General features: G+C 40.2%; 1 protein-coding gene across 23 annotated transcripts in view; it reads left to right on the forward strand.

Moving 5' to 3' along the window:
• NLGN4Y (neuroligin 4 Y-linked) overlaps positions 1-25,458 on the forward strand; it is a 323,039-nt gene that overhangs the window by 40,760 nt on the left and 256,821 nt on the right. For 2 of the 23 annotated variants that reach the window (XM_011531427.3, XM_017030036.2), the window contains exon 1: positions 19,213-20,915. The exons of 19 other annotated variants lie outside the window; for them this stretch is intronic. The gene's annotated coding sequence lies outside the window, so the exon portion shown is untranslated. Of the gene's footprint in view, positions 1-19,212; positions 20,916-24,233; positions 24,339-25,458 lie in introns of those variants that run through there. 2 more of the 23 variants (NM_001365590.1, XM_011531429.3) reach the window with 2 other exon arrangements.

Consider the following 25,458-nt stretch of genomic DNA (forward strand, 5'->3'; position numbering starts at 1 on the left):
TCCCAGGGATGAAACCATCTCAATCGTATTGGATAAGCTTTTTGATGTGCTGCTGGATTCTGTTTACCAGTATTTTATTGAGGAGTTTCACATTGATGTTCATCAGGGATATTGGTCTGAAAGTTTATTTGTCTGAAGTGTCTGTGCCAGGTTTTGGTATCAAGATGATGCTGGCCTCATAAAATGAGTTAGGGAGGATTCCTTCTTTTTCTGCTGTTTGGAATAGTTTCCAAAGGAATGGCACCAGCTTCTCTTTGTACCTCTGGTAGAACTGGGCTGTGAATATGCCTGGTCCTTTTTTATTTGTTGGTAGGCTATTTATTACTGCCTCAGTTTCAGAACTTGTTATTGGTCTATTCAGGGATTCAACTTCTTCCTGGCTTAGACTTTGGAGGGTATATGTGTCCAGGAATTTATTCATTTCTTATAGAATTACTAGTTTATTTGCATAGAGGTGCTTATAATATTCTCTGATGGTAGTTTGTATTTCTGTGGGATTACTGGTGATATCCCCTATGTCATATTTTATTGAGTCTGTTTGATTCTTCTCTCTTTTCTTCTTTATTAATCTGGCTATTGGTCTATCTATTTTGTTGATCTTTTCAAAAAAACCAGCTACTGGATTCATTAATCTTTTGAAGGATTTTTCATGTCTCGATCTCCTTCAGTTCTGCTCTCATAGCAGTTATTTCATGTCTTCTGCTAGCTTTGGAATTTGTTTGCTCTTGCTTCTCTAGTTGTTTTAATTTTGATGATAGGGTGTCAGTTTTATATCTTTTCTGCTTTCTCTTCTGGACATTAAGTGCTATAAATTTCCCTGTGAACACTGCTTTAAATGTACCCCAAACATTCTGGTACGTTATGTCTTGTTTCTCATTGGTTTCCAAGAACATCTTTATTTCTGCCTTCATTTCTCGAGAGGGGGGCCGAAGCCAGGGAGCTAAGTGGTCTGGATCGGTGGGTCCCAACCTGATAGAGCCCAGGAAACTAAGATTCACTAGCTTGAAATTCTTGCTGCCAGAACAGCAGCAATCTGAGATCCACCTGGGACAGTGGAGCTTAGTTGGGGAGAGGAGTCCACCATTGCTTGAGTAGGTGGTTTTATGGCCACAGTATAAACAAAGCTGCCAGGAAGTTCAAACTTGGTGGAACCCACTGCAACTCAGCAAGTTGGCTGTGCCCAGACTTCCAGATTTCTCTGCTCTGGACAGGGCATCTCTGTAAAAAGGCAGTAGCCCCAGTCAGGGGCTTATAGCCAACTTAAATGTCCCTGTCTGAAGGCTCTGAAGACAGCAGCCAACCTCCCAGCATGGTGTTCAAGCTGTGCTAGGGTCAGTCTGCTTCCTCAAGTGGGTATACTGACTGAAAGACACCTCCCAGTTGGGGCCAAGAGACACCTCATACAGGAGAGCTCTGCAGCGCATCTGGCAGGTTCCCTGCTGGGTCAAAGCTTCCAGAGGAAAGAACAAGCAGCAATCTTTGCTGCTTTGCAGGCTCTGCTGATGACACCCAGGCAATCAGGGTCAGGAGTGGACCTCCAGCAAACTCTAGCATACTGACAGCAGAGCAGCCTGACTGTTAGAAGGAAAAGAAACAAGCAGAAAGGATTAGCATATCCACTCAAAGACCCCATCCAAAGGTCACCAACGTCAAAGACCAATGGTAGATAAATCCACAAAGATGGGGAAAAACCAGCACAAAAAGGCTGAAAATTCCAAAAACCAGGATGCCTCTCCTCCTCCAGAGGATCACAACTCCTCACCAGCAAGGGAACAAAACTGGATGGATAATGAGTTTGATGAACTGACAGAAGTAGGGTTCAGAAGGCGGGTAATAACAAACAACTCTAAGCTAAAGGAGCATATTCTAGTCCAATGCCAGGAAGCTAAGAACCTTGAAAAAAGGTGAGTCTAATTGTTAACTAGAATAACCAGCTTGAGAAGAACATAAACGACATGATGGAGCTGAAAAACACAGCACGAGAATTTCGTGAAGCATACACAAATATCAATTGCTGAATTGATCAAGCAGAAGAAAGAATATCAGTGATTGAAGATCATCTTAATGAAATAAAGAGAGAAGACAAGATTAGAGAAAAAAGGATAAAAAGGAATGACCAAAGCCTTCCAGAAATATGGGACTTTGTGAAAAGACCAAATCTATGCTTGATTGGTGTACCTGATAATGACAGGGAGAATAGAACCAAGCTGGAAAACACCCTTCAAATATTATCCAGTAGAACTTCCCCAATCTAGCAAGATAGTCCAAGATTCCTATTCAGGAAATACAGAGAACACCACAAAGATACTCCTTGAGAAGAGCAACCCCAAGACACATTGTCATCAGATTCACCAAGGTTGAAATGAAGGAAAAAATGTTAAGGGCAGCCAGAGAGAAAGGTCGGGTTACTTATAAAGGGAAGCCCATCAGACTAACAGCAGATCTCTCTGCAGAAACCCTACAAGCCAGAAGAGAGTGGGGGGGTAAATATTCAACATTCTTAAAGGAAAGAATTTTCAACCCAGAATTTCATATCCAGCCAAATTAATCTTCTTAAGCAAAGGAGAAATAAAATCCTTTACAGACAAGCATAGGCTGAGGGATTTTGTGACTACCAGACCTGCCTTACAAGAGTGCCTGAAGGAAGGACAAATAAGGAAAGCAGCAACCAGTACCAGCCACTGCAAAAACATGCCAAATTCTAAAGACCATTGACACTATAAAGAAACTGCATCAATTAATGGGCATAATAACCAGCTAAAATCATAATGATAGGATCAAATTCACACATAACAATATTAACCTTAAATGTAAATGGGCTAAATGTCCTAATTAAAAGACACAGACTGGCAAATTGGATAAAGAGTCAGGACCCATCAGTGTGCTATATTCAGGAAACCCATCTCACGTGCAAAGACACACATAGGCTCAAAATAAAGGGATGGAGGAAGATCTACCAAGCAAATGGAAAACAAAAAAAGGCAGGGGTTGCTATCCTAGTCTCTGATAAAACAGACTTTAAACCAACAAAGATCAAAAGAGACAAAGAAGGGCATTACATAATGGTAAAGGGATCTATGCAGCAAGAAGCACTGACTATCCTACATAGATATGCATCCAATACAGGAGCATCCAGATTCATAAAGTAAGTTCTTAGAGACCGACAAAGAGACTTGCACTCCCACACAATAATAGTGGGAGACTTTAACAGCCCAGTGTCAATATTAGACAGATCAATGAGACAGAAAATTAACAAGGATATTCAGGACTTAACTCAGCTCTGGACCAAGTGGATCTAATAGACATCTACAGAGCTCTCCACCCCAAATCAACAGAATATACATTCTTCTCAGCACCACATCACACTTATTCTATAATGGACCACAGAACTGCAAGTAAAACACTCCTTAGCAAATGCTCTCCATCCCAAATCAACAGAATATACATTCTTCTCAGCACCACATCACACTTATTCTATAATGGACTACAGAACTGCAAGTAAAACACTCCTCAGCAAATGCAGAAGAACAGAAATTAGAGCAAACAGTCTACCAGACCACTGTGCAATCAAATTAGAACTCAGGATTAAGAAACTCACTCAAAACCACACAAATACCTGGAAACTGAACAACCCGCTCCTGAATGTCTTCTATAATTTTGAAAGCCAGCTTCATATTTCCTGCCCTAGGGGGATGAAGTAAAGTAAGCAGTAGATCTAGTTAGATATATGTGTTATTTTGTTTAGCAAGGGTTAATTTGAATTTTGCCATTTTATAACAACTGATTGTGGCTGGGAACATGCTAATGGTTATGGTGACTGTATTCACTCTTTCTTTGCTTTGAATTTTTTTTTTTTTTTTTTTTTTTTTGGGAGATGGAGTTTTGCTCTTGCTGCCCAGGCTGGAGTGCAATGGCACAATCTTGGCTTACTGCAACCACTGCCTCCGGGTTCAAGCAATTCTTCTGCCTCAGCCTCCCCAGTAGCTGGGATTATAGGCATGTACCACCACGCCTGGCAAATTTTTTGTATTTTTAGTAGAGAGAGGTTTCTCCATGTTGAGGCTGGTCTCGAACTCCTGACCTCAGGTGATCCACCCACCTTGGCCTCCCAAAGTGCTCGGATTACAAGTGTGAGCCACCACGCCCAGATTTTTTTTTTTTTTTTTTATTGTAACAGGGTCTCATTCTGTCACCCAGACTGAAGTGCAGTTGTGCCATCTCAGCTCACTGCAGCTTTGACCTTCTGTGCTCAAGCAATCCTCCCACCTCAGCCTCCTGAGTAGCTGGAACTACAGGTATACAAGTGTGTGCCACCATGCTTGGCTAATTTTTTTATTTTTTTGTAGAGATGGGGTTTTGCCATGTTACTCAGCCTAGTCTGGAAATCCTGGGCTTGAGCAATCTGCCCACCTTAGCCTTCCCAAGTGCTGGAAATACAAGTGTGAGCCACTGTGCTCAGCCTTGATTTGAATTTGAGGGATAGTATAGTTCTGTGTTACTACACCTAGTAGAATATTAGCATATTCAGTGACTTTAATTAGACCTTAGTGTAATCCCCAGTAACAATCTGTTGCCTTGGATGTTCTGTTTTCTTTCTTTTTTTTTTTAAATTATACTTTAAGTTTTAGGGTACATGTGCACTACGTGCAGGTTTGTTACATACGTATACATGTGCCATGCTGGTGTGCTACACCCGTTAACTCGTCACTTAACATTAGCTATATCTCCTAATGCTATCCCTCCCCACTCCCTCCACCCCACAACAGGTCCCAGTGAGTGATGTTCCCCTTCATGTGTCCATGTGTTCTCATTGTTCAATTCCCACCTATGAGTGAGAGGATGTTCTGTTTTCTAAAGGTATATACGAGATTCTTGTATTCTTTTCATATTAGAGACCCCTGGCCAGAGTAGGAGCTGTAGAGGCCACAGTGAGCCCTTCAGGAGAATGAGATACAGCAGAGTCACTGCTTGTGTTCTTGAGATGATTGGATGACAAAGAGGGAAATGATAATGTTAACTGAGGAAAGTCTAGAACTGCAGGTTACCATATGTATCCCATATTTTAACCCTCACCTGTTGTTCCATTGTATTTTTCTATGTAAGTTTTTACTTGCAGTCCTATTTCTTTCTTATTTAAAAATCATGTTAATCATTGGTATTAGTAGCATCTTTGCCAGATAAAAAGGAAAAACTAAAGTGAATGCTTTATGACGATATGTGGGAGGAAAGAATGTAATAGCACTTGAGGAATATTGGAACTGATTATATATTACATGGCAGTGGGTAGTGTTTAATAAAATGATTATATTTCATAGAAAGCATTACATCTTCTTTGAGTGAGAAACATAGAGATAATTTCATGCTACCCTCACCCTTTCTTTTAAACATATATATATTTTTTTTAAATTTAAGTTAGAATTTGAGTAATTGTATTACCATATATATATTTTTTAAATTTAAGTTAGAATTTGAGTAATTGTATTACATGTGGTGCTGTTTTTCTCAGAGGAAAAATCAGCAAATTATTTCAAAGATATGGAGGATATGGTGTTTCTCTATATCCAGGTGGGACTGAACAATGTATTAGCCAAGGAAAACCTTCCCTTTCACCCACTGGAGGCTCACTGAAAATCATGTCACAAAAAGCAGATTAATAGTAGAAAAGCGATACATATTTATTAAGTCATAGATCTGTGTAACACAAGAGCCTTCAGAACGAAGACGCAAAGATAAGATGGAGACCATTTTTTTTTCTTAATTTCAACTTTTATTTTAAATTCAGAGGATACAGCCTTGCTACATGAGAATATTTCATGGTGCTGATGTATAAGGTACTGTTGATCCCAATCAATAGTGGTAAGCATAGTGGCCACTAGCTAGCTTTTCAACCCATACCCTGCTTTCTCCCCAGTCTAGTAGTCCCTGTGCCTATTGTTCCCATCTTTCTTTCCAGATTTACTCAAGCTCCCACTTGTAACTGAGAACATACAGTATTTAATTTCCTGTATCCTGTGTTAATTCATTTAGTATGGTGGCCTCCAGCAGTATTCATGTTTCTGCAAAGGACCTGATTTTGTTCGTTTTCATGGTTGCATAGTATTCCACAGTGCATGTATACCACATTTTCTTTATTCCACCACTGATAAGCATCCAGGTTGACTCATGCCTGTTTTTGCTATTGTGAATATTACTGCAGTGAACATACAACTGCATGTGTCTTTTTTGTAGAAAAATTTATTTTCCTCTAGGTATACACCCAGTAATGGGATTGCTGGGCCAAATGGTAGTTTTGTTCTAAGTCCTTTGAGAAATCTCCAAACTACTCTCCATAGTAGCGTAAATATTTTACGTTCTCACCAGGAGTATATAAGCATTCCTTTTTCTCTGCAACCTCACTAGCTTTTGTTGGGTTTTTTTTGTTTTTGTTTTTGACTTTTTAATAGTAGCCATTCTGACTGGTGTGAGATGGTATCTCATTGTGGTTTTGATTTACATTTCCCTAATGAACAGTAATGTGGAGCATTTTTCATATGTTTATTGATACTTATATGTTGAGAAGTATATGTCCATGTTCTTGGCACACCTTTTAATGTGGTTATTCGGAAACTCAATTTTTATGCCAAGATTCAGGAAACTGCACAGCCAGTAGAAATAAGATTGGACAAAAAGGCCCTGATCTAAAGCTAATGGGCTGAGTGGGGAAACCCAGCCAGGCCTGTCTGCCTAGATTCTTCTTGGCCTTTCTGAACAGCACTTTCTTCCTTCTGGATGTGGGATAGGACCCTCTCTGGAATAGGGGTCTTAGGACCTACAATTCACACTGTTAGGACAGAAGATTTCTTTATGGCCAGTGTTTAAGAAAGTCAGGGGGAAAGTTAAGGTCATCTTTTATGGCTGCTTTGATAGAGAAGCGGTCTGGTTTGTATGACCTGCCTTTAGGAGGAGAGGTTCTAGTTTCTTTGGCCAGCCTCTAGGGAGAATGGAATTGAGAGACAGCAGGTCAGGAAAGGGTCAGAGATAAACCTTCTGCCTCTGAGGCTGTTGAAGTCTTCATTTTGTGGTATCATTCTCTGAACCCCAACAACACACATTGTTTTAACTTCATACAAAACACTTAGATCAGTTGGGTCCAAACATGGGTTTATACACTGTGTGGCAAAAGTATGGTCCTTCCCTCTACTCCAAAGGGAACAAATGAAATTTATTATTTATTTATTTATTTATTTATTTTTATTATACTTTAAGTTTTAGGGTACATGTGCACAACGTGCAGGTTTGGTACATATGCATACATGTGCTATGTTAGTGTACTGCACCCATTTACTCTTCATTTAACATTAGGTATATCTCCTAGTGCTATTCCTATCCCCTCCCCCCACCCCACAACAGGCCCCAGTGTGTGATGTTCCCCTTCCTGTGTCCATGTGTTCTCATTGTTCAGTTCCCACCTGTGAGTGAGAACATGTGGTGTTTGGTTTTTTGTCCTTGAGATAGTTTGCTGAGAATCTAACGGTTTCCAGCTTCATCCATGTCTCTACAAAGGACATGAACTCATCATTTTTTATGGCTGCATAGTATTCAGGGGTGTATATGCGCCACATTTTCTTAATCCAGTCTATCATTGTTGGACATTTGGGTTGGTTCCAAGTCTTTGCTATTGTGAATAGTGCAGCAATAAACACACGTGTTCATGTGTCTTTATAGCAGCATGTTTTATAATCCTCTGGGTTTATACCCAGTAATGGGATGGCTGGGTCAAATGTTATTTCTAGTTCTAGATCCCTGAGGAATCACCACACTGACTTCCACAATGGTTGAACTAGTTTATAGTACCACCAACAGTGCAAAAGTGTTCCTATTTCTGCACATCCTCTCCAGCATCTGTTGTTTCTGACTTTTTAATATTCGCCATTCTAATTGTTGTGAGATGGTATCTCATTGTGGTTTTGATTTGCATTTCTCTGATGGCCAGTGATGATGAGCATTTTTTCACGTTTCTGTTGGTGGCATAAATATCTTCTTTTGAGAAGTGTCTGTTCATATTCTTTGCCTACTTTCTGATGGGGTTGTTTGTTTTCTTCTTGTAAATTTGTTTGAGTTCATTGTAGTATCTGGATATTAGCCCTTTGTTAGATGAGTAGATTGCAAAAATTTTCTCCCATTTTGTAGGTTGCCTGTTCACTCTGATGGTAATTTCTTTGGCTGTGCAGAAGTTCTTTAGTTTAATTAGATCCCATTTGTCAATTTTGGCTATTGTTCCCATTGTTTTCAGTGTTTTAGACATGAAGTCCTTGCTCTTGCCTATGTACTGAATGGTATGGCCTAGGATTTCTTCTAGGGTTTTTATGGTTTTAGGTCTAACATTTAGGTCTTTAATCCATCTTGAATTAATTTTTGTATAAGGTATAAGGAAGGGATCTAATTTCAGCTTTCTACATATGGCTAGCCAGTTTTCCCAGCACCATTTATTAAATAGGGAATCCTTTCCCCTTTTCTTGTGTTTGTCAGGTTTGTCAAAGATCAGATAGTTGTATATATGCGACATTATTTCTGACGGCTCTGTTCTGTTCCATTGGTTTATATCTCTGTTTTGGTACCAGTACCATGCTGTTTTGGTTACTGTAGCCTTGTAGTATAGTTTGAAGTCAGGTAGCATGATGTCTGCAGCTTTGTTCTTTTGGCTTAGGATTGACTAGGCAATGCAGGGTCTTTTTTGGTTCCACATGAACTTTAAAGTAGTTTTTTCCAACTCTGTGAAGAAAGTCATTGATAGCTTGATGGGGATGGCATTGAATCTATAAATTACCCTGGACAGTATGGCCATTTTCACGATATTGATTCTTCCTGCCCATGAGCATGGAATGTTCTTCCATTTGTTTATATCCTCTTTTATTTCATTGAGCAGTGGTTTGTAGTTCTCCTTGAAGAGGTCATTCACATCCCTTGTAAGTTGGATTCCTAGGTATTTTATTCTCTTTGAAGCTATTGTGAATGGGAGTTCATTCATGATTTGGCTCTCTGTTTGTCTGTTATTGGTATAAGAATGCTTTTGATTTTTGCACAGTGATTTTGTATCCTGAGACATTGCTGAAGTTGCCTATGAGTTTAAGGAGATTTTGGGCTGAGGATGATGGCGTTTTCTAGATATACAATCATGTCATCTGCAAACAGGAACAATTTAACTTCCTCTTTTCCTAATCGAATACCCTTTATTTCCTTCTCCTGCCTGATTGCCCTGGCCAGAACTTCCAACACTATGTTGAATAGGAGTGGTGAGAGAGGGCATCTTTGTCTTGTGCCAGTTTTCAAAGGGAATGCTTCCAGTTTTTGCCCATTCAGTATGATATTGGCTGTGGGTTTGTCATAGATAGCTCTTATCATTTTGAGATATGTCCCACCAATACCGAATTTATTGAGAGTTTTTAGCATGAAAGTTGTTGAGTTTTGTCAAAGGCCTTTTCTGCATCTATTGAGATAATCATATGATTTTTGTCATTGGTTCTCTTTATATGCTGTATTAGGTTTTTTGATTTGTGCATGTTGAATCAGCCTTGCATCCCAGGGATGAAGCCCACTTGATCATGGTGGATAAATTTTTGATGTGCTGCTAGATTCAGTTTGCCAGTATTTTATTGAGGATTTTTGCCTAGGTGTTCATCAAGGATGTTGGTCTAAAATTCTCTTTTTTTGTTGTGACTCTGCCAGGCTTTGTTGTCAGGATGATGCTGGCCTCATAAAATGAGTTAGGGAGGATTTCCTCTTTTTCTATTGATTGCATTAGTTTCAGAAGCAATGGTAACAGGTCCTCCTTGTACCTGTGGTAGAATTCGGCTGTGAATCCATCTGGTCCTGGACTTTTTTTGCTTGGTAAGCTATTAATAATTGCCGCAATTGCAGAGCCTGTTATTGGTCTATTCAGAGATTCAACTTCTTTCTGGTTTAGTCTTGGGAGGTTGTATGTGTCTAGGAATTTATCCATTTCTTCTAGATTTTCTAATTTATTTGCGTAGAGTTGTTTATGGTATTCTCTGATGGTAGTTTGTATTTCTGTGGGATCGGTGGTGATATCCCCTTTATCATTTTTCATTGCAACTATTTGATTCTTCTCTCTTTTCTTCTTTATTAGTCTTGCTAACGGTCTGTCAGTTTTGTTGATCTTTTCAAAAAACGAGCTCCTGGATTCATTGATTTTTTGAAGGGTTTTTTGTGTCTCTATTTCCTTCAGTTCTGCTCTGATCTTAGTTATTTCTTGCCTTCTGCCAGCTTTTGAATGTGTTTGCTCTTGCTTTTGTAGTTCTTTTAATTGTGATGTTAGGGTGTCAATTTTAGATTTTTCCTGCTTTCTCTTGTGGGCATTTAGTGCTATAAATTTCCCTCTACACACTGCTTTGAATGTGTCCCAGAGATTCTGGTAGGTAGTGTCTTTGTTCTCATTGGTTTCAAAGAACATCTTTATTTCTGCCTTCATTTCCTTATGTACCCAGTAGCCATTCAGGGGCAGGTTGTTCAGTTTCCATGGAGTTGAGCAGCTTTGAGTGAGTTTCTTAATCCTGAGTTATATTTTGATTGCACTGTGGTCTGAGAGACAGTTTGTTATGATTTCTATTCTTTCACATTTTTTGAGGAGTGCTTTACTTCCAACTATGTGGTCAATTTTGGAATAGGTGTGGTGTGGTGCTGAAAATAATGTATATTCTGTTGATTTGGGTTGGAGAGTTCTGTAGATATCTATTAGGTCCACTTGGTACAGAGGTGTGTTCAGTTCCTGGATATCCTGTTTAGTTTCTGTGTGGCTGATCTGTGTAATGTTGACAGTGGGGTGTTAAACTCTCTCATTATTATTGTGTGGGAGTGTAAGTCTCTGTAGGTCTCTAAGGACTTGCTTTATGAATCTGGGTGCCCCTGTATTGGGTGCATATGTATTTAGGATAGTTAGCTCTTCTTGTTGAATTGACCCCTTTACCATTATGTAATGGCCTTCTTCGTCTCTTTTGATTGTGTTGGTTTAAAGTCTGTTTTATCAGAGACTAGGATTGCAACCCCTGGCTTTTTTTGTTTTCCATTTGCTTGGTAGATCTTCCTCCTTCCCTTTGTTTTGAGCCTATCTGTGTCTGTGCACATGAGCTGGGTTTCCTGAATACAGCACACTGATAGGTCTTGACTGTTTATCTAATTTGCCAGTCTGTGTCTTTTAATTGGAGCATTTGGCCCATTTACATTTAAGATTAGCCTTGTTATGTATGAATTTGATCCTGTCATTATGTTAGCTGGTTATTTTGCTCATTAGTTGATGCAGTTTCTTCGTATCCTTGACGGTCTTTACAATTTGGCATGTTTTTGCAGTGGCTGGTACCAGTTGTTCCTTTCCATGTTTAGTGCTTCCTTCAAAAGCTCTTGTAGGGCAGGCCTGGTGGTGACAAAATCTCTCAGCATTTGCTTGTCTATAAAGGTTTTATTTCCCCTTCACTTGTGAAGCTTAGTTTGGCTGGATATGAAATTCTGAGTTGAAAATTCTTTTCTTTAAGGATGTTGAATATTGGCCCCCACTCTCTTCTGGCTTGTAGGGTTTCTGTCAAGAGATCAGCTGTTAGTCTGATGGGCTTCCCTTTGTGGGTAACCCAACCTTTCTCTCTGGCTGCCCTTAACATTTTTCTTTCATTTCAACCTTGGTGAATCTGAAAATTATGTGTCTTGGAGTTGCTCTTCTTGGGGAGTATCTTTGTGGCGTTCTCTGTATTTCCTGAATTTGAATATTGGCCTGCCTTGCTAGATTGGGGAACTTCTCCTGGATAATATCCTGCAGAGTGTTTTCCCACTTGGTTCCATTCTCCCCGTCACTTTCAAGTACATCAATCAGATGTAGATTTGGTCTTTTCACATAGTTCCATATTTCTTGGAGGCTTTTCTCTTTTCTTTTTATTCTTTTTTCTCTAAACTTCTCTTCTGACTTCATTGCATTCATTTGATCTTCCATCACTGATACCCCTTCTTCCAGTTGATCACATCGGCTACTGAGGCTTATGCATTTGTCATGTAGTTCTTGTACTGTGGTTTTCAGCTCCATCAGCTCCTTTAAGGACTTCTCTGCATTGGTTATTCTTGTATCCATTCGTCTATTTTTTTTTCAAGGTTTTTAACTTCTTTGCCATGGGTTCAAACTTTCTCCTTTAGCTCAGAGTAGTTTGATTGTCTGTAGCCTTCTTCTCTCAATTTGTCAAAGTCATTCTCCATCCAGCTTTGTTCCATTGCTGGTGATGTGCTGCATTCCTTCAGAGGAGGAGAGGCACTCTGATTTTTAGAGTTTCCTGTTTTTCTGTTCGGTTTTTTTCCCCATCTTTGTGGTTTTATCTACCTTCGGTCTTTGATGATGGTGACATACAGATGGGGTTTTGGTGTGGATGTCCTTTCTGTTTGTTAGTTTTCCTTCTAACAATCAGGACCCTCAGTAGCAGGCCTGTTGGAATTTGCTGGAGGTCCACTCCAGACCCTGTTTGCCTGAGTATCAGCAGTGGAGGCTGCACAACAGTGGATATTGGTGAACAGCAAATGTTGCTGCCTGATTGTTCCCCTGGAAGTTTTGTCTCAGAAGAGTACCCAGCTATGTGAGGTGTCAGTCTGCCCCTACTAGGGGTTGCCTCCCAGATAGGCTACTCGGGGGTCAGGGACCTACTTAAGAAGGCAGTCTATCCATTCTCAGATCTCCAGCTGGGTGCTGGGAGAACCACTACTCTCTTCCAAGCTGTCAGACAGGGATATTTAAGTCTGCAGAGTTTTGTGCTGCCTTTTGTTTGGCTATGCCCTTCCCCCAGGGGTGGAGTCTGCAGAGACAGGCAGGCCTTCTTGAAGTGTGGTGGGCCCCACCCAGTTCGAGCTTTTTGGCTGCTTTGTTTACCTACTCAAGCCTGAGAAAGCGTGGGTACCCCTCCCCCAGCCTCACTGCCACCTTGTAGTTTGATCTCAGACTGCTGTGCTAGCAATGAGTGAGGACTTTGTGGGTGTAGGACCCTCCGAGCCAGGCGCAGGATATAATCTTCTGGTGTGCTGTTTGCTAAGACCATTGGAAATGCACAGTATTAGGGTGGGAGTGACCTGATTTTCCAGGTGCGGTCTGTCATCCCTTTCTTTGACTAGGAAAGGGAGTTCCCTGACCCCTTGCACTTCCCAGGTGAGGCGATGCCTCACCCTGCTTTGGCTCATGCTCGGTGTGCTGCACCCACTTTCTGACACTCCCCAGTGAGATGAACCCCGTACCTCAGTTGGAAATGCAGTAATCACCCATGTTCTGCATCGCTTATGCTGGAAGCTGTGGACTGGAGCTGTTCCTATTCGGCCATCTTGGCTCCACCCCCCATGAAGTTTATTTTGGAGAAAGTTAACTCAGAACAGAAGGACCTAGGGATATCAGAGAGTTGAGATGGGGCAAGGGCCTGGGCTCCCTGTCTGTCCTGACAAAGTTAGAACAGAAGGACCCAGAGACATCAGAGAGTGGAGTGAGGGTGAGGGCCTAGGCTCCTTGTTTGTAAGGGAATTGTCTACACTGTGCATACTAATGATCATCAGCTTTCTTGTCCTTCCTTCAAAGTTGAAAGTCACCGTACTCCTTCAAGTCCATCCTGGAGGATCCCTTTCTTCATAAACTGAACTGGCCAAGAAAAGTATTCCATAATTGGTATTTAAAGGCCATTTGGGCCTATTACTTATGTACTGTACAATATGTTCACCTGCTGAGGAGGGAACCCTGGCTATCCACACAGACCTGATTCTTAAGTGAGAAAAGACAGTCTTAAATCCTAGATATTCTTGAGAAGGCTTCAATAAGAAACTCATTTTAAAAATTGAAAAAATAATCATCTGGAGGTAGCACACACACCAACCAAGGAAACAGGGACAAAATTAATCTGTAACCTGTAGGAAATACACTGAAGTAGTGACTCATAAAAAAATGGGAATTCTATTAAAATGTAACATATTACACAAATTAAAGTATCCTATTGGAGAGAGAATGTGAGGAGATCTCCAATGGATAAAACTTCAGTTAGAGAGAGTGATAGCAAAGGGAAAGGAACAAATATGGAGACTCTAGGAATCTGACATTCAAAGAGTATTTTCAGGAAGGATGACAGAGAATACAAATAAGCAAAAGTGACTTACATTCAAATAGTGTTTAAAAAGTAATCCCAGCGTTATTGTGTAACAGTGCTGAAATAAATGTATCTGTACATGTGTCTTCATAGTTGAATGATTTATAATCCTTTTTGTATATACCCAGTAATGGGATTGCTGGATCAAATGGTATGTCTCATTCTAGGTCCTTGAGGAATCACCACGTTGTGTTCCACAACAGTTGAACTAATTTATACTCCCACCAGCAGTGTAAAAGCATTCCCATTTCTCCACATCCTCTCTAGCATCTGTTGTTTCCTGACATTTTAATGATCGCCATTCTAACTGGCATGAGATTGTATCTCATTGTGGTTTTGATTTGCATTTATCTAATACACCATGAAATATATGCAGCCATGAAAAAGGATGAGTTCGTGTCCTTTGCAGGGACATAGATGAAGCTGGAAACCATCATTCTCAGCAAACTAATACAAGAACAGAAAACCAAACACCACATGTTCTTACTCATGAGTAGGAGTTGAACAATGAGAACACATGGACACAGGGAGGGGAACATCACACACCAGGGCCTGTCATGTGGTGGGGAGTAGGGGGAGAGATAGTATTAGGAGAAATACCTAGTGTTGATGACGCGTTGATGGGTGCAGCAAGCCACCATACCATATGTATACATATGTAACAATCCTGCACATTCTGCCCATGTACCCCAGAACTTAAAATGATAATAATAATAATTGCCATCATCATCATCATCATCATCATCCCAGCATTGAGGGATCTACACTTCCAGGCTTAGGAAACAACATCAGGGTTCATCACAGTGAAAGAATTGAAACTCCAAACTCCAAAAGCACATTGTGAGATTTCAGAAGAGCAAATATGTGGGAAAGACCATAAGAGCTTGAAGGCTGTATTAGTCCATTCTTGTACTGACACAAATACCCGAGATTGGATAATTTATAAAGAAAAGAGGTTTAATTGGCTCATGGTTTTTTAAACTGCACAGGAAGCATGATAGCGTCTGTGGTGGCCTCAGGAATGTTTCAATCATGGCAGAAAGTGAAAGCAAAGCAGGTTCATCTTATGTGGCTAGAGCAAGAAGAGGAGAGAGACAGAACATGCTACAAAATTTTATACAACCAGATCTCCTGAGAATTCACTTACTATACAGTACCAAGGGGGATATACAGTATCATTCTAGAGAACTCTGCCCTCCATGATGCCATCACCTCCCGCCAGGCACCATCTCCAACACTGGGGATTAGAATTCAATATGAGATTTGGGTGAGGATACAGATGCAAACCGTCTCAAGAATTTGTAATTTCATAGAATGCTTCATGTTTTCACCAAATGTTAAAAATATAGAAACTTTCATTATTCTAAGAAAAAATAATTTTACCACATAGAACTCTTATCTTGGAGCAGCTCTTTGTGGGCAGGCAGAGTCAAAGCATTTACGCTGATGTATCATTTCAAAAAATTTACCTTTCATGCTTCCCTTCTTGGAAAGATGTGTGATCGTGTGTTCCTTCAAACAGTGGAATAAATGATGAATACAAAGATGGAGAATCTAAGAAACAGTGGCCTTCACAGAAGACAGCTGAAGTAATTAAGACATCAGATTATTGCCTGGAGCAGGCTGGGACATCTGACATCCTAGAGTTAAACTTTGAGGAGAATGAACATAAAAGAAAAGGAAGTAAGCCATTTGACCAGGTAGAAATAGTACTCGAGATGGGCTTTAGTCCAGAAAAATTGAACAATATACACACAGACAAGCATGAAATGAAAACCTGAAGCAGTTATTGTCTCCAGATAAAACAGGAGGTGATTCAATGAAGGAGATTTAATTGGGGTAGAAGGCTTAGTTCAGGAGTGATTAGTTCAGGAGTAATTGCACAGTTACAGTAAAGTTGAAGAGAGAAGGCTGGGTACAGTGGATCATACCTGTAGTCCCAGCACTTTGGGCGGCCAAGACAGGCAGATCTCTTTAGCCCAAGACTTGGAGACCAGCCCGGGCAATATGGCAAAACCCCATCTCTACAGAAAAAAAAATGAAAAAATTAGCCAGTATGGTGGCACTTGCCTGTAGTCCTAGTTATGGCAGAGTCTGAGGTGGGAGGATGTTTTGAACCTGGGAAGTCGGGGTTGCAGTGAGTTGTGATTGTACCATTGCACTGCAGCCTGGGCAACAGAGCAAGACCCTGTCTCTAAAAACAACAACAAACAAACAAACAAACACGGGGCAAATAGAGTGGGGGTTGCCCATAGGTAATTAATAGGTAATATCTAAAAACAATATATCAAGAAAAAATAGCATGAACTATTTCTTAGTAATATCAAGAAGATATTTGAAGGAGAGAAGCTAAGAAATCTGAAAGCATTTGCCTTCTAGCAAGTGTGGTCCTGGGATGTCGTATGCTGTGCAAGAAAGTGCTGTTGTGCAAATAACACCTGTAGTAGTTCGACTTTTAAAAATTCATGCATGCGGGACCATCCTGGCTAACACGGTGAAACCCATCTCTACTAAAAATACAAAAAATTAGCTGGGCATGGTGGCAGGAGTCTGTAGTCCCTGCTACTCAGGAGGCTGAGGCAGGAGAATGGCGTGAACCTGGGAGGTGGAGCTTACAGTAAGCAGAGATCGCGCCACTGCCCTCCAGCCTGGGTGACAGAGGGAGACTCCATCACAAAAAAAAACAAAAAACAAAAAACAAAAAAACAAAGAAAAAAAACCAAAAAAAAAAAAAAAAAAAAAAAAAAAACACCTCACGCATGCCTTTCTTTGTTTCCAAAGAAACAAGTAGTTTTATACTACTTACATATTATGGTAGAATGATTTATAATCTTTTGGCTATATACTCAGTAATGGGATTACTTGGTCAAATGGTATTTCTACTATTCTTTGTTTCCAAAGAAAGGCATGGTATGGAAATGGTTTCCAACAGTTGGAGAAACAAATTTTTTTTCCAAAAGAAAAATGATAAGGCCAAGATTGAATGGTATGTGAATGTGAATATGATAGTTAAAAGCATTATTTCTCAAATGTACCTTCCCATTGGAATCAGCTGGAGAATGTAATAAGTATTAATGCCTGTGCTATGGTCCTCCAGAGATACTGACTTGCTTGGTCTGCAATGCAGACCGGGCAGTGAGATTTTTTTCAGTTCTTCTTAGGGATTGTGAGATACAGCAGAGTTTAGGAAGCATGGATCTAGGTTTGCTCAGATTCTTACTTTCATTTAAAAATCTGTATCTGGGCACAATGGGTCATACCTGCAATCCCAGAACATTGTACTGGGTGGAGGTGGCAGGATCATTTGTATCCAAGAGCTCCAGACAAGCCTGGGCAACATAGTGAAACCCCATCTGTATGGAAAAAAAAAAAAAAAAAAAAAAAAAAAGAAAAAGAAAAAAATTAGCCAAGTGTAATAGTTCATGCCTATGTTCTCAGCTATTCAGGAGGCTAAGGTAGGAGGATCACTTGAGCCTTGGAGGTCATGGCTGCAGTCAGCTGAGATCACACCACCACACTCTAGCCTGTACAACAGAGTGAGACCCTGTCTCAAACAAACAAACAAAAATTACGCAGTGTACTCTTCAACAAGATAAAGTGGTTTCAGTAATAAACTACTAATAATATGATGATTTAGATTGAGCAAACTTCACTTAGTCATTTCTTTTTTATTATCTGATATGTTCTTTATAAAAAGTTTTAATTGCTTAAAAATGACCTAATGCTTCTCCCAAGCTTCCTTTTTTTTTTCTCTCTCTCTTAACTGAAGTCACAGAATGTTCTCCTTTGTGGAGTGCTAAACAACATTAAGAAATTATTAGCTTTAAGGACATTCTAAGAGTAAGGTTATAAACCTAAAACCCCTAAAAGGTAAAAGAAAATTGAAGAGGCAGTACAAAGACTGTCCTCTCTCAAAGGGTCCCTTCTCATGGAAATAGGCTGCTATTCCAGGTCAGTGGGAGGTGATCCTATGGGAAGCCCATTGTGTATGGCCCATGGCACCATTCCAGCTTAATTGTTCCAATTCCTCCTGTTTCTCTGACTGCACATGAGGTTAAATTAAATATAATTTTCTCAGTTTGCATTTCCCAGGCAGTCATCCTAAGTGGCTTCTTGAAGGCGGTCTGTGCATTCCGCTATCTAATTCTGTGATGTCCTTTAACTCGAGGGCCAGTGACATGATTATCAGCTCTAGAAGTTCATTCTGTGGTCAGAGATGCTTGTGCAGTGGCCATTTTCTTTCATTATGATCTGGCCTTTCCCAAGCTTCAGAAGTGAAGAGAATTGACTTTCCTACTAATGAGCATTGGCACTTAGGAAGTGAATACTTTATCTTTTGCAGCTAGTGTGTTCTACATTTCTTCAGTGTACCTCCTGCCTGGTAAATATCAGATTATTTGTTGACCATCTCTCAGGGTATAGTTCTTTGTGTTATTAAATGAGAACCTAGTGGCTTACAAAGCATTGGCTTTTGAGGAGCCACTTTTATCCTAGATGATAACTCAAATCCATACAGTGCTGATATTTACAGCTGGGAGATGACATTGTCTTATCTTTGGGTCTATTGCTCAAATTTCTGATTTCAGCAGGACTTACTCACTGGCTGCCTTCTGTCTTGGGGATGCCTTTGATCTGTCTTGCCTTGGGGGACCCTCCCTCTGACCTGGATTAGCAGCCTATTTCCACAAGAATGGACCCTCTGAGAGAGGACAGTCTTCGTACTGGCTCTTCCGATTTTCCTTTATCTGTTATGGGTTTTGGGTTTATAAATTTACTCTTAGAATGTCCTTAAAGCTAATAATTTTTTAACGTTCTTTAGCATATTACTAAAAGCTATTCATCTGCTTGAGAGACTGAGGAAGGAGTGTTGCTTGAGCCTGAAAGATTGAGGCTGCAGTGAGCTGTGATCCTGCCACTGCACTCCAGTCTGGGTGACAGAGAAAGACCTTGTCTCAAAAAAATAAAAAGGACAGGTACAATAGCTCATGCATGTAATCCCAGTACTTTGAGGGGCTGAGGCAGGAGGATTGCTTTAGGCCAGAGTTCTAGACCAGCCTGCAACATAGGGAGATCCATCTCTTCAAAACATAAAAAATTAATTAGACATGATGGCACATGCCTGTAGTCCCAGCTTCTTGAGGGGTTGAGACCAGCAGGAGGATTTCTAGGGCCTAGGAGTTCCAGGATGCAATGAGCAATACTTATGTGGTTAATACATATTGAAACCAGTTGTTGGAGAATTAGTATGTGTTCTCCCACAAATTCAGTATGTTTTTGTAATGGTCCAACTAATTCAAATGGTATAAACATAATATAAGCAAATTATTTTATGTTGTTTGTTTAAAAACCTTTTTGACTGAATCAGTCTATGACGCTTTAGTATTTGAAGTTGTGGGCAGAACTTAGTCTTAAGATAGCACTCACCTTGGTGATAGATTTCCATGGAGGGAATTTTTGCCAGATGTTAATTTAGCCTGAAGATGTTATAGATGTGGACAGTCACGCCCTCTAAGTCTGGGGTGGGCTAATTGAAAAGAACATGCAGGAACCAGGCTTGTTAAGGGATAAACATAGGGGAAATGGAACAATTATGGCAGAGATTGAATTGGGTTTAATTGGGTTAGGAAGAGTGAAAGAATAGATTTTAATAAGAGGTCTGGAAATAGCCAAGAAACCCACTTATTGTAGAAAATGTGTGACATCTGATTACCGTAGTGAAAGAAAGATCCCCCTTCAAAAATCCTATCTATACAGAAAGAAGTGGTAGGTAAAAGGAAATCTTCCCATGGATGTATTTAAGAAAAACAGTGGGGAGGTCTGAGATTTCAAAGGGCCATGGTTCAGATTATAATTCAAAAGAGAGGCAAGTGATAGTTCCCCTCTTCTTGGGTTTCAGGAAGGGGGAAGATTTGGCCACTTGTGAAATAATTTTGGAGCTTCTATAACCTTGAGCCTTTCTTCTTATTTTTTCCTGGACTTGAGACATAAGGGGATTGATAAGATGGGACCAGAGAAAAAGCAGGTTTTGAAATGCCTTTTTTGATTCTGTTCATTTCTGGAATTCTTCATCATGGTCCTTAAAGAGTACATATTTGTTCCTGATACACAACATGCAGTGGTCTATTAATGAAGCTTTATTTCCTCAGCTAGGTTGCCTCCTCCATTAATTTGTGGGATTTTAGATGAAAACTTACTTGAACTGTGGTTTTCTCTGTGTTTGTGAATGGAAGGACATGTTTGTCTTTGACCTTCCTTTAGTTTCACATCTTAGTCTTAATATTTAAGTAGCTTTGTTTCAGACAGAGAAGGACCATGCGTTCAGTTGCTGGGACTGCTCTCTAGGTTAGAGGCTTTCTGGTCTTGGGGAAGATTCCCCACAAACTAAGCAAGTGGCATAGATGCTTAATATTCTAAGTGAGAGAAGCACTAGAGTTTTTTATTCATTACTTGTGAGCGCAGATGTGGCCTCTGGGGAAGCTCAGCTGAGGTGGTCTCATGTTCCACCAAAGGTCACCAGAGAGAGATGGCCAGGAAGACAGGAAGACTTGTCTCACCTGGGAGGGTATGGCAACAGCTATGCAAGACCTCTTGTTGGAGATATGTGACATTCATTCATTTATTTATTTTTTGAAACATAGTTTCATTCTTTCACCCAGGCTGAAGTACAGTGGCACGATCAGGGCTCACTGCAACTTCCCTGTCTCGAGCTCAAGCCATTCTCCCACCTCAGCCTCCTGAGTAGCTAGGACAGCAGGCAGGTACCACTCTGTCCAGGTAATTTTTAAAATCTTTTTAGAAACAAGGTATTGCCATGTTGCCCAGGCTGGTCTGGAACTCCTAGGCTCCACTCCCGCATTGGCCTCCAAAAGTGCTGGTATTGCAGGGATGAGCCTTGGTGCCTGGCCCATTTATTCTTAAGTACTTATGCTCAGGGCAGGTCTTCCAAGGGAAGAAAAGAACAGCCAGATAAGACTCGTATGAGATAGCTGAGGAGGCGGCATTTCATCCTTCTATGCATATCCTCCTTATCCACAAGCAGAATGCTGTCCTACAACCATTGCTGTCCCCATTAGGTCATGATAGGTAGACATGCAGGTGATGACCACAGACTGGCAGTTAGCCAAGGATTCTCAGTGTTGCACGTTGCATGGGTGAGTGTGTGTGACGGATGCCTCTGGCAGTTTGGTGGAAAATTGGTACGTTTTGTAAAAATGATATGTTTAAGTCTTCTAATAAGGTAAATACTCATAAGAGGAAGTCAGTTTTATTGAAATAGTTAGCACATATATTAATATTAATATTTAAGGCCAGGTGCATTGACTCATTCTTGTAAATCCCAGCATTTGGGGATGCTGAGGTGAGAAGATCTCTTGAGGCCAGGAGTTCAAGTTGCCAGCCTGGACAACAAAGGGAGACTATTTCTACAAACAATAAAATAAAAAAAAATAAAAGATATATTTAAACTGGGCTGTAGTAATACATGTGTATCTTTATTGTATATTAAGTAGCTGGATCTACTTATGAGGTTCATACTAGTCACAATTTCTTAGTACAATTGAGTTTAAACAATATTTTGGGGTATTTGTCCTACCAACATTGATAATGGAAGAAAATACTAAATTTCAGTGCACGGTAATGAAACTAAACATGTAATTCCTTTTTCCCATTGCAGTTAGTAGAACCCATAGAATGTATCTAAAGACACCTAGGTGGCAAAAGGTAAATGCTTGAGGGTATGATACCCCATTCTCCATGATGTGATTGCATACCTGTATCAAAATATCTCATGTACCTCATAAATATATATACATGCTGTGTACCCACAAAAATAAATAAAGAGGAAACTTGGATGGGATTGGGATTTTTGATGTTAGGGTGGAGAACGTCTGCATTGAGGATTGTGTAGAGGGAAGAGTTTTGATTTATTATACCCGTTTCTTTAAAAAAACAAAACAAAACCAAAAAAAACCTGCATGTGATGTGAGGAATTTTGCCAGAGGTGGGGAACGTGAAACTCACTAGTTGAAAACATTCTATACTGAGGTAATTTTTTTATGTCAAAAAGAAAGTGAAGAGTGTGGCAGATTAAAATCTTCATGTTATTTGCATTTTACAAGCTTGGAAGTCTCAATATCAATTATTATTGACTGCTATTTACTGCAATTTTTGACACAAAACATACTTCATTTTAATGAACTTTGCCTTGTTTGAATGTTCGTAAGACTTTGGAGGGAGTTTTAGAAAGAGATAGTTGCCTTTGATCCCTGAAGTATATTATTTGGTCTATCCTGATTCTGTCTCTTGACTTTGCACTTGTCTTTCCTGAACTCTGTTTAAAAGAAGCTTTTTTTTATGCCTCTTTTCTTCCTTCCTATTCTAATATGAGATACAGAGGTTTTTATGGGTAACATCTTGTCTATATGCCAGATTGTGGAAGCCTTGGTTGTTACCCAGGGATGGAAGGTCTGATCTCAGTTAAGTTCTGACCCTAGGATAAGAAGCCCCTCTGGAGTAACTGACTCAGTGGGGTAGAGCCTATTTTCACAAATTAATATTCCTGTCTGGGGATGGCAGTGAAAACATTTTGGGCAGTGGGTGGAAATGATAATGTTCAAGCCTGAAGATGAAGTTTGCCTTTTCTCGGAGCTTGTACAGTGTCATACTCCGGAAATAAACTGTGTGGGAAAGGTGGTGTTTAGTAACCTAGAGCTGTACACCTTGCAAGGCCCTCATCTTGTCATTCTGCACTGTAAGAAGCACATGAAGAAAGAGTGTAGGCTGTCAGAGAGAGCGTCACACTGAAGTAGGCACTTCTTACATACAGCTGTCTGCCTAAAATAGAGTAACTTTAGCAAATAGGATCTGTGATATAGAAATTGGAAACTCTAGCCAGGGTTGTGAAAAATGGAGCTGGGGTCACAGGTGGTGGACTGGAAAACGTTCTGAAGAAACTCAGCTTTTTGGATATTGTACAGTTCATTAGGGGAGCTATGAGAAGCAGTTATGAAGCTCCTTATGAACGAAACGTAGAGGCCGGGTGCATTGGCTCACACCTGTAATCCCAGCGCTTTCGGAGGCTGAGGCGGGCAGATCATGAGGTCAGGTGATTGAGACCATCCTGGCCAACATGGTGAAGCCCCGGCTCTACTAAAAACACAAAAATTAGCTGGGAGTGGTGTTGCATGCCTGTAATCACAGCTACACAGAAGGCTGAGGCAGGAGAATCGCTTGAACCAGGGAGTTAGTAGTTGCAGTGAACCGAGATCACACCACTGCATTCCAGCCTAGCAACAGAGGAAATCTCTGTCTTAAAAAAAGAAACAAAGAAACAAAAACAAAGAAAGAGACATAGAAACATACCCATCAGTGTTACTCAGGAGGGTTCTGGTTCCTGTTTTGCACTTGGCAGTACACACTTGTTCTTGTCCACATTATCCTCCATCTGTCCACATGATCAACCATCTGCAGTCCCACCACCAGCCAAGGGTCGTGCCAGGTCAGAAGTACTACTCCAGGTCAAACTGTGTTATTTTGAAATGGAGTTATTTGTTATTGTTGTTCTTACTCAAACTAGCAGTTTTCCTTTGTAGAAGAACTCGGTTTCCACTCTGGGTTAAATATTTCGTTTATGTGATCAAGATTATCTCTGTCCATCAGATACAGCAGTGAGAAACCCTTTTATAGGAAATGGGGTTAAAAGTGACAGGATATCTATAATTGTTTATTTTGTTTGCTAAATTGCAGGTAAATATATTCGCAGAACTAGTTTTGATAACCTTTTTAAAAATAGGCTTATTTGACGTTGGCTGAAACTAAGACTCTAGAACTTTACTGCTACATCAATGAATGACAAGTCTCTCTATTCAGCATGAAATCCCTGCAGACAAAAACCACAGGGACTACATCATGAAGGCTATGAGAATTTTATGGTGGAAACCTGAGTGAAGCAGGTGGTAGAAGAATCTAATGTAGTACCATGCCCACAGGAGATGATCTAAGAATGCCCTCACACCTAACCTTGCAAGTTTTCTACCTTCTGTGTCTTGGTTTCCTCTAATTTCTTTGTCTCTTTTCTCCCTTTTAATTTAATAGGGTTTGCTGAAGACTTTCTCTCTTCCAAGGTCAAGTGTTAGTCATCTCTGGGCTTTGCCGTTAGATACTCATCATAGTCTAACAATGAATGTAAGCACTGAGGAAGTAAGTAATGGTGACAATGTGGATGTTCCTTTTGGTATCATTTTTCTCATGCTCTGTAAATCTTGGTGGTCTCATATTCATATTATTGAATACCAATGCTTAACCCCTCTCTGCCGTCTTTACAGAAGTCCCCTGGTCTACCTCTCTCTACGTGTCTAAAATTGTAGAATTGTCTTCTAGACACTCTATTGCAAATTCCCTTCTGCACAAGCCCAACATTTCACAGAAGGAGCAGGTGGGGGGCAATGAAAGAGAGCATGGCTCAATTGTAGCAATTGAAAGGCAAGCTTTGTCTCATCAGCTGCAGTGTTTACTACTTGAGGATGGGAATTTGATTGGTGTATCTTTACATTTTATCAAAGTGGGTTTCACCATGGAAGCATTCAGTGGTACCTCAGTGAATAATTATAATTAGCTAGGATTTCTTTGGAGGATATTTATTGTTCTAAATTTGTATATATTTATATGTACATACTGTATTAGTTCATTTTCATGCTGCTGATAAAGACATAACTGAGACTGGGTAATTTATAAAGTAAAAGAGGTTTAATAAACTCATAGTTCTTTGTGGTTGGGAGGCCTCACAGTCCTGGCAAAAGGCAAGGGAAGAACAAAGGCACATCTTACATGGCAACAGGCAAAAAGAGAGAGCTTGTGCAGGGGAACTCCTCTTTAAAAAACCATCAGATCTTGTGACCTCATAGTTCACATGAGAACATGACAATGAATAAGTCATGGGTGGAAACTGCCCCCATGTTTCAATTATCTCCCACTGGGTCCCTCCCCTTACATGTGGGAATTATGAGAGCTACAATTCTAGATGAGATTTGTGTGGAGACACAGCCAAACCATGTCACATACATATGCATATCTTTATGTAGGGGATCTTTATGTAAGGTATGTGAATACAGGTGTGTATATTCATATACTCTTGTACTTTCTCAAACACATACCATAGAATGTGTAATAATGTGTCTGGAATTGGTGGGTTCTTGGTCTCACTGACTTCAAGAATGAAGCTGCGGACCCTCGCGGTGAGTGTTATAGCTCTTAAGGTGGCGCGTCTGGAGTCTGTCCCTTCTGATGTTCAGATGTGTTCAGAGTTTCTTCCTTCTGGTGG

This window comes from Homo sapiens, chromosome Y, assembly GCF_000001405.40.
Source record: "Homo sapiens chromosome Y, GRCh38.p14 Primary Assembly".
NCBI lineage: Eukaryota > Metazoa > Chordata > Mammalia > Primates > Hominidae > Homo > Homo sapiens.